Genomic DNA, 14,670 nt, shown 5'->3' on the forward strand with positions numbered 1-14,670 from the left:
AATTCCACATATAAGTGAGATCATGCAGTTATTTATCTTTCTGTACCTGCCTTATTTCACTTAACATAATGTCCTTCAGGTTCATCCATGCTGTTGGCAAATGAAAAGATTCCCTTCTTTTTTAAGGTTAAATAGTATTCCATTGTGTATACCACATTTTTAAAAATCACAAATGGAATATTATTGTTCCTTAACTAAATCCTGCCATTTTCTACTTGGATAATATTGTTTATACTATTTCCTCTTCCTGGAATATGTACTGTCTTGCTCTTCAGTGTATCCTCCTAAAGATTACCAATTTATCAAGTTCTAGCTCAAGTGTCACCTCTTCCACAGTTGACAGTGCTCATTTAAAATGAAAGAATTTTCACTTTTCTAGCACCTCTTGGTATATCTATTTGAGGGATATAACATATAACCACACAGTTTTCTTACTCAGGTACCCATGAAATTATCAGCTTCTTGAGGGCCATAATGATATAACAATATTTTATTCATACATTCAACAAATATTTATTGAATCTTCACTATTCTATGTGAAGGGGTATGAACAAGACAGAGAAGAACCTTGCTTTTATGGAATATAGGACCTAAGGAGGGAGGGGGGCATACTTTATAGATAATGAGCAAGTAAATACATAAACAAGATAGAATAATCTCTGGTTCAGATTGAGTAGTTAGAGAAGTTCTCTCAGAGGAGGTGATATTTGAGATGAAGTTTCAATGATAAGAAGAACCCAATCACAAGAAGACCAGAAGAGGGCAAATGGAAAGCTGTCGAGTTGGGTGAAAGTGCAGTGTGTCTGAAGAGGACATGGAGGACAGTGTGTGGCTGAGTGTTGTAGGTGGAGGCAAGACTAGTGTGAGATGAACTGGTGGGGATGGGCAAGAGCTAAGCACAGCAGGTTGGATTTCATTCTAAAGTTTTACACAGGAGTAACATGATCTAATTTACAATGTCAAGTGATCTCTCTGCCTGCTGTGTAGAAAATGGATTATATAAGGTTAAGAGTGGAAATAGAAAGATTAATTGGAAAGCCACTGAAGTAATCAAGAACATGAAAGTAAGTTGAATTTGGTGGTTAGTAGAAGAGAGAGATAAGTGGACACATTTATTGTGTCTATAGTATTAAGCACAGTATCTTAAAGATGGTAGCTGCTCAATATATACTGCTGAATATATGTCCAAGTACTTAAAAATAGTCTCACATTCTTAATTTCTATATGATCTTCAAGTTTTTCCAGCTTCGATTTACCTCTTATGGCTTAATTTATTCCCACTGGACACTTGGGGAGTCAAAGAGTTAAAACTTCCAAATATTCAAGAAAATGATATAGGTCTCATGATGGAAATTCACCTGACAAAGAGCTGACATGATGGAGTTTGGAGTTCACATTGTTATTTATGGGAAGAAATAAACTATTGGAAACAAATGGTAAAAAGCGTAATTCAAAATCTGCAACAGGATGAAAATGGACAGGGTATTGGAATACAAACTCTACATTTAAAAAAAAGAGAGCCTTTGGTCATCATCAGCAAGAATACCGTGCCTAAATAGAGAATGTGGGTAAAATTAATTTTCATTAAAATTGGAAACTTTTCCAGTTCTTGCTTTTGATGTTTTTTGAAATATAGAACCTTCATCTTACTATCTTGATATGATCAATTTCCTAATATGTAGCTAATACTATCTTACTAGATAGTAATGTTTACAAAATTCTAAGAGCACTGAATGAGACCTGCTTGGAATCTGAGAAAAGACAGGCAAGTCAGTGGGTTCTCATTCTCTTTCACCTCTACCTTCCAGGACATTTAGATTCGTACCCATGAAGATTCATCCTGTATTAGGAATTCAACCCAAATTCCTTCAATACAAAGCAAAATACAGAGGAAAATGAGATCACTTTTTGCCACTTTCCACCTGAAATGCTAAATGGGCTCTGAATTGAGTGAAACTTGGCCCCACTCAGTGTGAAAACTGGCTGAAATCTGCATGAAAGGCAGTCTGGGTTTGTCGAAGTAGTTCATGAACTTTGGCCAAACTTTCAAGGAACCTGGTCCAAGTCTTAGTTTGTAATGCAACATGAAACCAGGTGAATTTCAGATGGTTTCAGGTTTCATCCTGAAAATTTGGCCTAGCTTTATAATCAATCATCACTCTTTTTAACGATGAAAGCCAACACACCTTTTTGAAAATGAGGACTGCATGCATACTGATGACAGCTAAGCTGTGAACCACCCTTCACTTCCTTTGCCAAAAGAAGATTTCTCAGAATGGAAACAGTTTCCCTCTTACCTGGAAAGGGGAAGTTGAGTGATTTTGATATTGCGTGTAGAAAGAAATGATACTCGATATGAGGAGACATGTCATGTGAAATAATCACCACATACAGAGCAAATGGCTGTATTCTAATCACTTAAGGTTATGAGAGTCTTATTTTATTCACATCCATGACAGTGGATAACGTGGTGTTTAATCTCCTAAAATGAGCATTTGGCTTGAAGCTAGTCATCAGCCAGAGTAACTGCCACGAGAAACAAAATGCTGTGAAACATAATCAGTATTTCTATATGAAGAAGTGACTGAAGAACAAAAGGGAAAGTATAATAAATCATAGCATAACTTTTGTCTAGTTTAAGAAACATGAGGAGATAATACAACTACAAACCTTTCAAGTTTGCATCAACTGCATCTTTTGCAAAAATATCTCTATGCAGTATAAATGCATTTAATAAGTAACTAAGCACAGTGAATTTTACAGAAAGACCTACATAGTTTCTTTTTTCAACCTGAAAGTTTTAAATGAGCCTTTCCACTGTAAAAAATTACTCTATTCAACCAAATACTTGCTTTTGTGCATAGTGACATGAGAAAATTGAGAGGTATGTCGAACGGAGCCACTACATCATTGAAACAGTATGTCTGAACATTTGGGTAATAAGGCACAGATGTGAAGTAGAGGACTTGGCACTACCAAGGTAACAACAAAGCATTCACCATTGTGTTATAATGGTTAAAAGGGCCACATCTGAGAAGCTTAAAAGAATGCTCCCTCCTACCTGCAATGCTAAATTGTATTACACCTTTTATCTGCTTAAAAATCTATAAAAACTAGAAATTCAAATAAGTATCATGCAAACTTATGGCAAAGAACAAATATGTAAAATGCACTGATAATTTTATCTGTAAAAAAACATTTATGCAATAGCACGTAAGGTTTAACTGCAGCAAAAGGCCAAATTCAATAGAAATCCATATGGCCTCTATGTTGTGAAACAATTCATGCAAATCTGAAGGACTCAATAGTCACGGGAAAGGTGGCTGCTATTGATTCTTAGAAGTGATTCTGGCCCTTACTCAATATGTCTAATTATTGTAGAATTTTCTATTTATAGGCATCAAGTAAAGATAATGCAACAGAATACATCCAAATCGTTAATCAGGTTTTTTTCACTTACAAGTGGTATGGTATTTTTGCCAGCCATTACTGAACCATGTGGCACAAAGGCAGTTATGAAGCTGGGGTACTTTCATTCAATAAACTTGGAGTTAGAAACTAATTTTCCGCCCAAGATAGGTAGAGCACAACTTACCCTAGGTCCCTGATCACCTTGTTCTCCCTGTAGAATAGAAAGGTGAGATAACAGTTTTAGCCAAAATTTATACATGATGTTCATTAAAAAGATCAAAATGTAACACAGTATAGGTCACGCCAATATGGATCTTCACTAACTTTATTTCTGGTATGCATTTTCTTACCTTATCGCCTTTTGGACCAGGAGGGCCCTGAAAAAAAGAAAGAGAAAAAAAATTTTAATTAAAAAAAGATATTGTAAACTGAATAGATCAGCCAGGTTAGTTGAAAGATTCATTCAAAGAATACAGAGATAGCTGTCAATGAGGTTTCTCAAGAAATTTTGGTTTCTAAACTATAATCATATTAGAATGTGAAACATATAACCATATATGTTTGTGCATGTATACCTGTACATATCATGTCATAAGTACATAATATGCTCAATAAATTTTCACAAACTCAGCACATGTATGCAAGTAGAACCCAGTTAAAGAAATAGAACATTACCTGCAAGTTAGAAGCTCCTGTTGGGACATTTCCTTGTCACCACCCTCTACCAACAGTAACCACTATTCTGACCCCTGACAATATAGATTAGCTTGTCTGTTTTTGTACTTCATGTACATAAAATCATAGAGTCCGGCCTCTTTTGCTTAATTAGTATGAAATTCATCCATAATTTTGTGTGTAGTTGTAGATTGTTCTTACTGCTTTATAATACTCCACTGTATGACTATATCATCATTTACTTATTCATTCTAGTGTTGGCAGCCATTTGTTTCCAGGAGTTTCTAGGTCTTGGCTATTATAAAAATACGCTATGGCCAGGCGCAGTGGCTCATGCCTGTAATCCCAGCACTTGGGGAGGCCAAAGCGGGTGGATCACCTTAGGTCAGGAGTTCAAGACCAGCCTGGCCAACATGGTTGAAACCACATCTCTACTAAAAATACAAAAATTAGCTGGGTGTGGTGGCGCATGCCTGTGATCCCAGCTACTTGGGAGGCTGAGGCAGGAGAATCGCTTGAACCTGGGAGGTGGAGGTTGAGGTGAGCTGAGATTGTGCCACTGCACTCCAGCCTGGACAACAGAGCAAGACTGTCTCCAAAAACAGTGCTATGAACATAGTAATTCATGTCTTTTGTGAAAATGTATATTCATTTCTGCTGGGTGTATATCTAGAAAAGGAACTGTTAGGTTACAGACTATACATATGTTCGGTTTTAGTAGATGCTGCCAAATGGTTTTTCAAAGTGATTCTTAACAATTTAAGCCCCATCAGCGATGTATAGAATTTCAGTTGCCCCATATTACCAATATTTGATATTTTCTATCTTTTTCATTTTAGGCATTCTGGTGGTGATGTAGTAATTTCACATCATGTTTTAGTATGTATTTACCCAGTGATTAGTAAATTGAACTCCCTTTTAATATACTTATTGACCATTTTACATCCTTTTTCATAAAGTGTCTCTTCATACCTTTTGTCCTTGGCCTACTGAATTGTCCTGTTGATTTGCTAGAGTTCTTTATCTATTATATATTATATATTGTACATATGTATGTAGGTAGATGTAGAGTTATTTATATATTTTGAATGAGTCTTTTGTCAGATATATTTACTGCAAATATGTTTTCCCACTTTGTTTACTGCCTTTACATTCTCTTACAGGTGTTTTTGATGAACACCTCTGAGTTCTTAATTTTAATAAAACTCAATTTAACATTTTTTATTCTTTATAGTTGTCCCTTTTTATATTCCACTTAAGAAATCTTTGCCTACTTCAATGTCATAAAGAGGGCTTTCCATTTTAGTTTAGAAGCTATTTTTTTAGCTAAAGTTTATTTTATAAGCCAAAAACTTCATTATTTTATCTTCCATATTGAAATCTGAATTTATTAAGAACTGATTGTGTATGATGTGAGGTAAAAGTCAAGATGCTTTTTAAAAATGTGGATATCAAATTAACCAAACACCATTTCTTGAAAATGTACCTTTTCCCCATTATAGTACAGTATTACCTTTGTCATAAGTTAAGTGATGCTACGTATGTGGCTCTTTACAGGAATTTCTATTTTGTTGGGCAGCTGTCTATTCCTGGGCCTCATTGAGATTTTCCTTACCTTTGAACAGAAATACTAATTCTAGAGGCACTGATACATTTTCTAGCTCTTAAAGATAAAGTCATGTTTTGGTTTCAGCCCACCTGAGGAGCTGGAGCATTTCAGAGTCACCTTCTCTCACCTCCATTTTCAGCAGGGCTGAGGAAAAAGGACAAGGCTGGACAGGAAACAGGCCCAGGTTCTAGCAAAGTACCCCATCCTAGGGGCCAGTGGAGGCTGCTATGTCACTGCAGGTGGGAACGTAGCAATGCTCCACCTTCCAAAACATTTCCTTTTGCTAAGTACCAGCTACAGAGTAACTGCACCAAATTCCCATTCTCAGTGTGGCCCTTCTGGTAACAGCTGTGAAATTACCATAAAATTACTAATAACTACATCATGTCCTATACTTTGTGTCTTTTACCATTGACAAGAAACTTTTTCACCTGTTATTGCATTTAATCTTTTCCACAATCCAACGAGATAAGTATTATGATAATCCTTTTACAGATGCCAAAAATGAAACTCAAAGACTATCAATGTTAGGCTTCTTGTGAGTTAGAAAGGACTTTAACCCAGTATGTGTGACTTTAAATGCAGAGGTTTTGACACAAAGTATTGGAACACAGCTCTGGAACTAGAGTCTCAGAAAGAAGGATACCTATCTGGTGCCTGCCTTCAACAAGCGCCATCTAAAATGCCTCCCTAGTGCATTTTCCACAGTGTCACAGACACTAGTCCCAGCGTCTCAAGTTCAAAATGAGAGAAAGGGGAATAGAGGAGGAGTGAGGAGGGGCAGAGGGGACTAAGATAATGGAAATCAACTTTATAAAACCTTTTTATCTCTTACCCCCAAAATCATTTTGCAAGTTAAAAGAGGAAAGAGAAAATATTATTTTTGTTTTCAATAAATTTTTAACATTTTTATTATTTTCCATGAATCAACTAGTAATTAGTGAGTACAGTCTGTGTGTTCATCTCTGGAAAATTAAGTTTAAGGACTTTATTCAATTATTTTTAACACATGCAAAATGCTTACTAAGGTTATACAAGTAGGATTTTATTTGTGGTGGGGCAGATGAAAGCCAAAGAAAATAATAATGAGAGGATATGACCAAATTTAAAAAATACAATTGAGGTTCTAGTCTTGATTTAAGTAGCATGTTAGTTAACTTTATTTCGATTTTTACACACATTTGTTGAATGTCTATACAGTGTGGCAACACTGTAAGCACTGGGGGAACATATATGTTTGGGAAAGGCTGATTTAGAAAGACATAGTCCCTGTCCTGGAGAAGCTAAATAGCCTAGTGTCTAAGGCAAACAGTTTCCACATAGTAGCATTAAGAAAAAACGACCTCTACAAAACTCAGCTACATCAAGGTCAACTGTTACTATAGACACCTCCCCAGCCTCCATATCCACCCCCTTCCCAGGTTTCTCTTTAAACTTTTGTTTGCTTTTGCCAGTGAGATTTCACAGGCCACATCTCCCATTGTACCAGTCCTCTAAAGGCACCTTGTTAGGTTACACAGCATCTTTAAGGACAAAGTTTTTGTGAAGTTATTTGACAGTGAGGAACAGAGACAACCCTTTTCCTCAAAGTCCAATTACTCATGCCAAATCCACGTATCAACTAGAGTTCTTTAGCCAACTTGCCCTGAGCAAGAATGCTTAATTTGCATCTACAATTGAGCAATAAATATTGCTGCCTCAAAAGATGGTGTTTCTGAGCAGACAGTATGGCGTCCTGGCACCTGCCAGCTTAGGACAGAAGCAAAGCCGAGGTCAACCTCCATGCACAGCTGCAGCGGCTGCTTCGGACGCTCCGGCCCCGACTTGTGCACTTGGATTAACAGCAGGTGTTTTCTTCTGCTCTGACTGAAATCCCACTCTTCCTTCCGAATTGGACCCTCTTCACTGAAAATATGGGTTAAATTTGCAGAACAAAGTGGGCTACCTTAGTAAACACAGATAGTATAATATTTCCAAAATTTAGAAGCCATACTTCTTTTCTAAGTCAAAAAATTACAAATGAAAGAAAGGTTTATTTGAACATTACCCTTTAAAATTAAAATTGGGGTATTAATTTTTTTTTATCTTTAGCATTAAAAAAGCTAACTAGTATTAACTAAAGGATAGGCAGCAATAAAAATTAATGGCTATTTGAATTACAAATTATTTTTCAATGGCACATTGCTGTTTCCAACTAAACCAAGCTCAACAATCTAATATTTAGTAGACATATTTATTGTTCAGGTGACAGTATCAATGGCTGATTGGTAACTATTTGAAGATAAAACTTTGTTGCTCCAACAAGGTTAGGGTCAATGGAAAGGAAAGATGGTAAAATTAGCAGTCATAGGGAAGTGAACAGTGAGTCACAGCTCTATAGAAGGCCCTTTTGGGGACTCTTGTCCTGGTTTGGTCTAGAATCCAATAGTCAGATCTTTTATAAGCCCCACTTTAATAAATAAGTAGGAATATTTGATATGATCTTTTGAATTAGTTGTATGTAATTAATCCTAAAGTTAATTACATTAATAAGTACTTAAGGGTGCTAATAAAGTTTTTATTTATTAGTGTTGTTAGTAATTAGAAGATTTATTTTAGGGCATTGTTGGAATGTTATTAACTTCCTACACCAAAGGATTTCTAAATTTCTGTGGCAAACTTAAAATTAGCCCCTGTTCAAACGGCTTTACATTCAGAGTTTGCAAGAACCACCCTTCTATTTGTAAAAAGCCTTTAATGTGGGTTTTGGCCTATACCAATTTAAGTCTCCTCAAATCTACTTCCGTTTAAGTAACTAAGGTTTTAGCTTTTTTCCTATGCTCTATTGTCTATTTCAATTAAATGATAAAACCAAACTAAAAACAAAGAGAGGCACAATGAATGACATTCAGGAAAATATTGAATTTCAATCTACATAACAGCAATGGAAATACAGCTGGAAAAGAGAGATATATTCATAGGCCTGGAGTAACCCAATCATGGTTTTTTATTTACTGGAACTGTAAATTATATTTGCTTTGAACTGGAAAAAACTAAGGCAGGAATAGTTTTTAAAAGATGACAATCATGAAAACAAAATTAAATTCTGCTTGGGGTAGAAAAAAGTGGAAAAGGAGCAAATGCTGGGAATTCTTGGCAGCCCGAGTGCCTGGAATAAGAATGGGGTTATGACTTCTATCCCAGGAAAGAATAGATAAGTTTATTTTTATTCATGAAATATAACAAAACCTTTTCTGATTAATCTATTCATTGCTGTAGAAATATGAGGACAAGCAAGCTTCATTCTCTAAGAATTTCTGGCTCACTATCAGCCAGGCGATGTACTCTGAGTCTGGAGGAGGGACATGTAAATATAATCACAATCAGTGGACTAAATACTGTGTTGTGGGAGTACAGAGCAGAAAGAGGTGGGAGAGCTGGAGTTGAAAAGATGCTATTGGAACTGGCTCTTGAAAGATATCCAGGAGTAAGGCGATGGAAGATGGAGGGAGGAGGAGCGAAGCAGGCCCGGGGGGAAGGGATGCACATGCCCAGTTGTGAGAAAATACCACTCTGTCAGAGAAAGGAGTTCAGGGTGGTAAGAACATGTGGGGAGTGGAGATAGAAAATAGCAGGAAAGAGATTTTAAAAGGCTGGTTAACCACACTCAGGCGTTTGAGCTGGATTCTGTCATCAATGTAACAAGGAGTGCGGAGATGAAGTGTGCTCTGTTTTGTGGAACTCTGAGAACACGGGGTGTTCGGGATTCTTAGGAAGTATTTGCCTTGGTCCAAAAGAGAGATGGTAAAGCTTTGAATTAAGGTTGTGCTAGTGGAGGCACAGGGAGAGGTCTAGATTCAGGAGACATTTCTCAAGTAAAAAACAACAAGACTGGTTAACTGATTGGACATGGGGGCCACTGACAGGTGTCAACATGTTTTAACAAGTCCTACTTATTTCAAGGTTCACAATTTAGTGTATTTGCAGACAAGCTTTGGCCTAAGCTGGTTCAACGTAGATGAACACAGCAGTTCCACAGCCAAGTGAATCAAATAGAGTTTAAATCTGGTTTTAGTGTTATATTTCAAATCCACAGTGTTGGCAGCGTCGGCTGGCCTAATTGGAAATAGCTGAGGAGAGAGAAAACATTCTCTATCACCACCATTGAGCAGAAGCAGCACAGAGGTAGTCATAACTGCCTCCCCTCAGAAGCCACAATTCTTCCGTGTTAACTTCTGAATAGAGGAAACCTTTATCACATTTTCTTTCCTCTACTTTTTCAACTGTAAACTGAATATGGAATTACTCTATTTTAAACTCCACAAGTTTCCTACTCTTTTAAAGATAAAGAAGATAGTCTGCTGTACAAGCCGTCCTCTAGGAGCACAGCACAACCTCAATGGTCACCGCACGTCTGATGTGGATCTTCTTTCTGATGTGCTCAGGCACAAGCAAACATCGATGTTCACAATCTCACAGGGAGGAAGCGGAATATCCCGTTTTTCTCTTGTACAACTAGGATAGAAGCTTCAATTCTACTGCCTACTCCCTAAATTGCATGATGAACTTGACTCATAGTGCCAATGACACACATACTCAATCCCCACACTTACAAGGAAACTGAATTTGGTACCACAGTTTCTTAACAGGTCTCTAAAACTGCAGAAAACCACATTGCAAATAGTATTAACAATTGAAAATCTAGTGTTTTACTTGAAAAATAGGGATCCTAGGTATTTAGGTGAGGATACATCCACCCTACTTCTGAAAAAAAGTGTTTTATGTAGTACAGGTTTACCTCCAACTAGAATGTGAACATGTGTTCTTTCGAGTATTTACTTTCACCTTAAACTCATACATAGTTTTCTGTTTTACTGGCACACATTTTTTAGAGACATTTCTTCTTCAAACCACTAAGTTGTTTTATAGACTTTCAACTTTGCAAATAACGAACTACAAATGTGAAAATTTTAAAGTTAAAATAACTTTTTCTGAAAAAACTGATGTAAAATCATAGGAGTTCCCGTATGTAAGTATAGATAAATTGTGTGTGTGGATACTTGTGTTTAATATCTTTTTAAATGCTTCAGTAAAAAAGTTAAAAAAAAGTGAAAGTAGAATTTGAGAGTTACTTTAAAATGCAGTACATGAAATAACATATCTTGGCGGTTAAGAGCTCAAGTTTTGGAGTCAAACCGATGCAGATTGAAATCCTGGCTACAATCACCTGTGTGATCTTTAAATGGTTAATTAATCTCCTTGTTCCGCAATTTCTTAATCTTAAAATGGGGAAAATAATGCCCACTGTTTGGCTAAAATAAAATATTATACATGAAGCAATTTATAAAATGCCTGCCCTACCAATAATATAATAGTAATTATCAAGTACACACTTAATATTTTAATTATCATAAACATAAAATAAAATTTATTTTTCAGATACTTGACTTGAGGATAAAGAAATACAATCAACTTCCTGGCTAGGCACGGTGGCTCATGCAGCACTTTAGGAGGCTGAGGCAGGCAGATCACAAGGTCAGGAGTTCGAGACCAGCCTGACCAACATGGTGAAACCTCGTCTCTACTAAAAATACAAAAATTAGCCAGGCGTGGTGGCATGCGCCTGTAATCCCAGCTACTCAGGAGGCTGAGGCAGGAGAATCGCTTGAACCGAAGAGGCGGAGCTTGCAGTGAGCTGAGATCGTGCCACTGCACTCCAGCCTGGGCAACAGAGTGAGACTCTGTCTCAAAAAACACACACACACAAACAAAACAAAAAAGAAATACAATTGATTTCCTAAACCAAAAGAAAATGCCTTGGGAAATGTCCTGGGGGGACGGTGGAAATATTTCGAGAATAGGAAGGTCTAATATAGTCTACCTCTATCGTTAAGGAACTATTACCAAACAAAACAAATAAACTTGGTCGTAGTTTTAACCACATTACTTTTATGATTAAAATAGACTAAACGTCAGGCCCTAGAACCACCTAGTCACCCGTAGCATAGAGTAGGTGCCCAACCAGTTCTTGCTGAATTGAAAGGCCCAGAAAGAAAAGAATGCAATAAAACTCTGTGTTCAAAACAGCAACATATAAAGCATTATAGAAGAACCAGATTCAATGTTGCTGCAGAAGAACCGTGTTTATTATAGTGTCAAACTCTGCTAAGCCAGGGAAGGGAATTATAGCTATAAACAGATTTATAGCTTCAGACTTTACACCTTTCAGTGTGTACTGAAGATTAAAAGAGACCAAGCAGAGGGGGTGGGTATAAACAGAAACTTTTAAAATATCAAAACCAGCCTCACTTACTAGAAAACAAATTTTTATGGCTATTATTTTCTGGGCATTTTCCACAGTAAGATCATAACTATAAGGTTTTTTGTGATGTCCATCTGAGCCCTGAACAAGGGACTATATGTGCCCATGATCAGTCTTAAATCAAAAGCAGCTGCCATAAGGAAGCAATTAGTGGGTCTAGCACTAAAGAACATTTAGAAAAACCAAACATTAAAAAAGGACTCTCAAAAGTAAGACTGATGTAGCTCAATGGAGTTAAAGGCTTATAAAACAGCAGGAATCAGGGACGCTCTCTCTGGTTTTCTTTTCTAACACAATACAAATTAAATACAGTCAAATTACCGCTCCTGCCAATCAAAACGAAGGGAACCCTTCTACCTAGCATCATTCCTTGCCTCACATGTTTTAAGAAATTGCTAAAACTTCTTTGTTTAACTTTGATTTTTTTTTAACTTATTTTTAAGAGGTCAAATAAAATGAACTCCATGGTGAAAGACTTGGAATCCTAAACATTCCTTTTGTCGAAAGAAAGTATCAACTTGCTCTTTTAATGCCCTAGTAGCCCTGTGATTTTACAGCTAATGGTGCAATCTACCCTAAAATGCTCTTACTGTCCTCAACACGATTCAAATGTATTCAGAGATACGTTCATGTTTATACCTTGGGTTTAATCTATAATTATCGATTTCAGCATGTTTCCTAATATATTGTCCCAACATAATTTTACCCGGGCTACTTAAGAAACATTGTTTGCCGGTCAGTTGGATTCTTTGCTTCATTTGCAGTAGTATTGTGTCCAGAATTGGTGGGTTCTTGGTCTCACTGACTTCAAGAATGAAGCCGCGGACCCTCGCAGTGAGTGTTACAGCTCTTAAGGTGGCGCATCTGGAGTTTGTTCGGATGTGTTTGGAGTTTCTTCCTTCTGGTGGGTTCATGGTCTCGCTGGCTCAGGAGTGAAGCTGCGGACCTTCGCAGTGAGTGTTACAGCTCTTAAGGCGGTGCGTCTGGAGTTGCTCGTTCCTCCCTGTGGGTTCGTGGTCTCGCTGGCTTCAGGAGTGAAGCTGCAGACCTTCGCAGTGAGTGTTGCAGCTCATAATGGCAGTGTGGACCCGAAGAGTGAGCAGCAGCAGGATTTATTGCAAAGAGCAAAAGAACAAAGCTTCCACAGTGTGGAAGGGGACCCAAGCGGGTTGCCACTGCTGACTCGGGCAGCCTGCTTTTATTCTCTTATCTGGCCCCACCCACATCCTGCTGATTGGTAGAGCGGAGTGGTCTGTTTTGACAGGGCGCTGATTGGTGCCTTTACAATCCCTGAGCTAGACACAAAGGTTCTCCAAGGCCGCACCAGATTAGCTAGATACAGACTGTCCACACAAAGGTTCTTCAAGTCCCCACCAGAGTAGCTAGATACAGAGTGTTGATTGGTGCATTCACAAACCCTGACCTAGACACAGGGTGCTGATTGGTGTGTTTACAAACCTTGAGGTAGATACAGAGTGCCAATTGGTGTATTTACAATCCTTGAGCTAGACACAAAGGTTCTCCACCTACCCACCAGACTCAGGAGCCCAGCTGGCTTCACCCAGTGGATCCCGCACAGGGGCTGCAGGTGGAGCTGCCTGCCAGTCCCCCACAGTGCGCCTGCACTCCTCAGCCCTTGGGTGGTTGATGGGACTGGGCGCCCTAGAGCGGGGGCGGCGCTCATTGGGGAGGCTCCCGCCGCACAGGAGACCATGAGGGGGGCGGGAGGGAGGCTCACGCATGGCGGGCTGCAGGTCCCGAGCCCTGCCCCGCGGGAAGGCAGCTAAGGCCCAGCGAGAAATTGAGCACAGCAGCTGCTGGCCCAGGTGCTAAGCCCCTCACTGCCCGCGGCAGGTGGGGCCAGCCGGCCGCTCCGAAGTGCGGGGTTCGCTGAGCCCACGCCCACCCGGAACTCCCGCTGGCCCGCAAGCACCGCGCGCAGCCCCTGTTCCTGCCCGCGCCTCTCCCTCCACACCTCCCCACAAGCTGAGGGAGCCGGCTCCGGCCTTGGCCAGCCCAGAAAGGGGCTCCCATAGTGCAGCGGCGGGCTGAAGGGCTCCTCAAGTGCCGCCAAAGTGGGAGCCCAGGCAGAGGAAGCGCCAAGAGCCAGCGACGGCTGTGAGGACTGCCAGCATGCTGTCACCTCTCAGTATGTAGAGCAATATAGGTTTTATGAAGGGCCCCTAAGCACAACACAGGATAAGGGTAAGATGTTCCTTGGAGTCTAAAGAGATACTCAGAAGGAATTAAAAAATGACTCTCAGATGAGGCTAGGAGAGTCTGACTCTCAGGGCTTGTCTACCATTCTCCTTCTTCCAATGTATATTGGATCTCCCTCCTTTTCAGTTGATGCCTAAGATCATCAAAGGCTTTTAATATGAGCTTCTACAACTACCACACTCCCAATCTTCAGAGTCTTCTGTACCTTCATCCTTCTCTCTGTGGAGTGAAGAACACTGTACCTACCCACTTCTGTGCTTCCTCCCAGCCTTGCCCCAGTTACTCTTTTTCTCACTTGTCTCTTCAATCATTCCCATTACCTTGGATTCTCCTCCATGCTCTTCGAACATGTTCTTTCACCCTCTCCTAAAGACAAGGGGAAGCAAAGCTGCCTTTGCCCATTACTCCCTCATTTTAATGTCTTGTCTTCTTCCTCACTGTCTCCCTAAGTAGA

At 39.1% G+C, this 14,670-nt stretch overlaps 1 protein-coding gene across 10 annotated transcripts in view; it reads right to left on the reverse strand.

Annotated features, from left to right (window-relative positions):
- Positions 1-14,670, reverse strand: part of COL25A1 (collagen type XXV alpha 1 chain) — a 493,934-nt gene that overhangs the window by 162,047 nt on the left and 317,217 nt on the right. For all 10 annotated transcript variants that reach the window (NR_045756.3, XM_011532335.3, XM_011532334.3 and 7 more), the window contains 2 exons: positions 3,762-3,788; positions 3,596-3,622 (listed from right to left, as the gene is read on the reverse strand). Coding sequence is in view for 9 of the 10 variants with exons in the window: in XM_011532335.3 (XP_011530637.1) it covers positions 3,596-3,622; positions 3,762-3,788 (54 nt within the window). In the remaining variant the exon portion in view is untranslated. The remainder of the gene's footprint in view (positions 1-3,595; positions 3,623-3,761; positions 3,789-14,670) is intronic.

This window comes from Homo sapiens, chromosome 4, assembly GCF_000001405.40.
Source record: "Homo sapiens chromosome 4, GRCh38.p14 Primary Assembly".
In the NCBI taxonomy this organism is placed as follows: domain Eukaryota; kingdom Metazoa; phylum Chordata; class Mammalia; order Primates; family Hominidae; genus Homo; species Homo sapiens.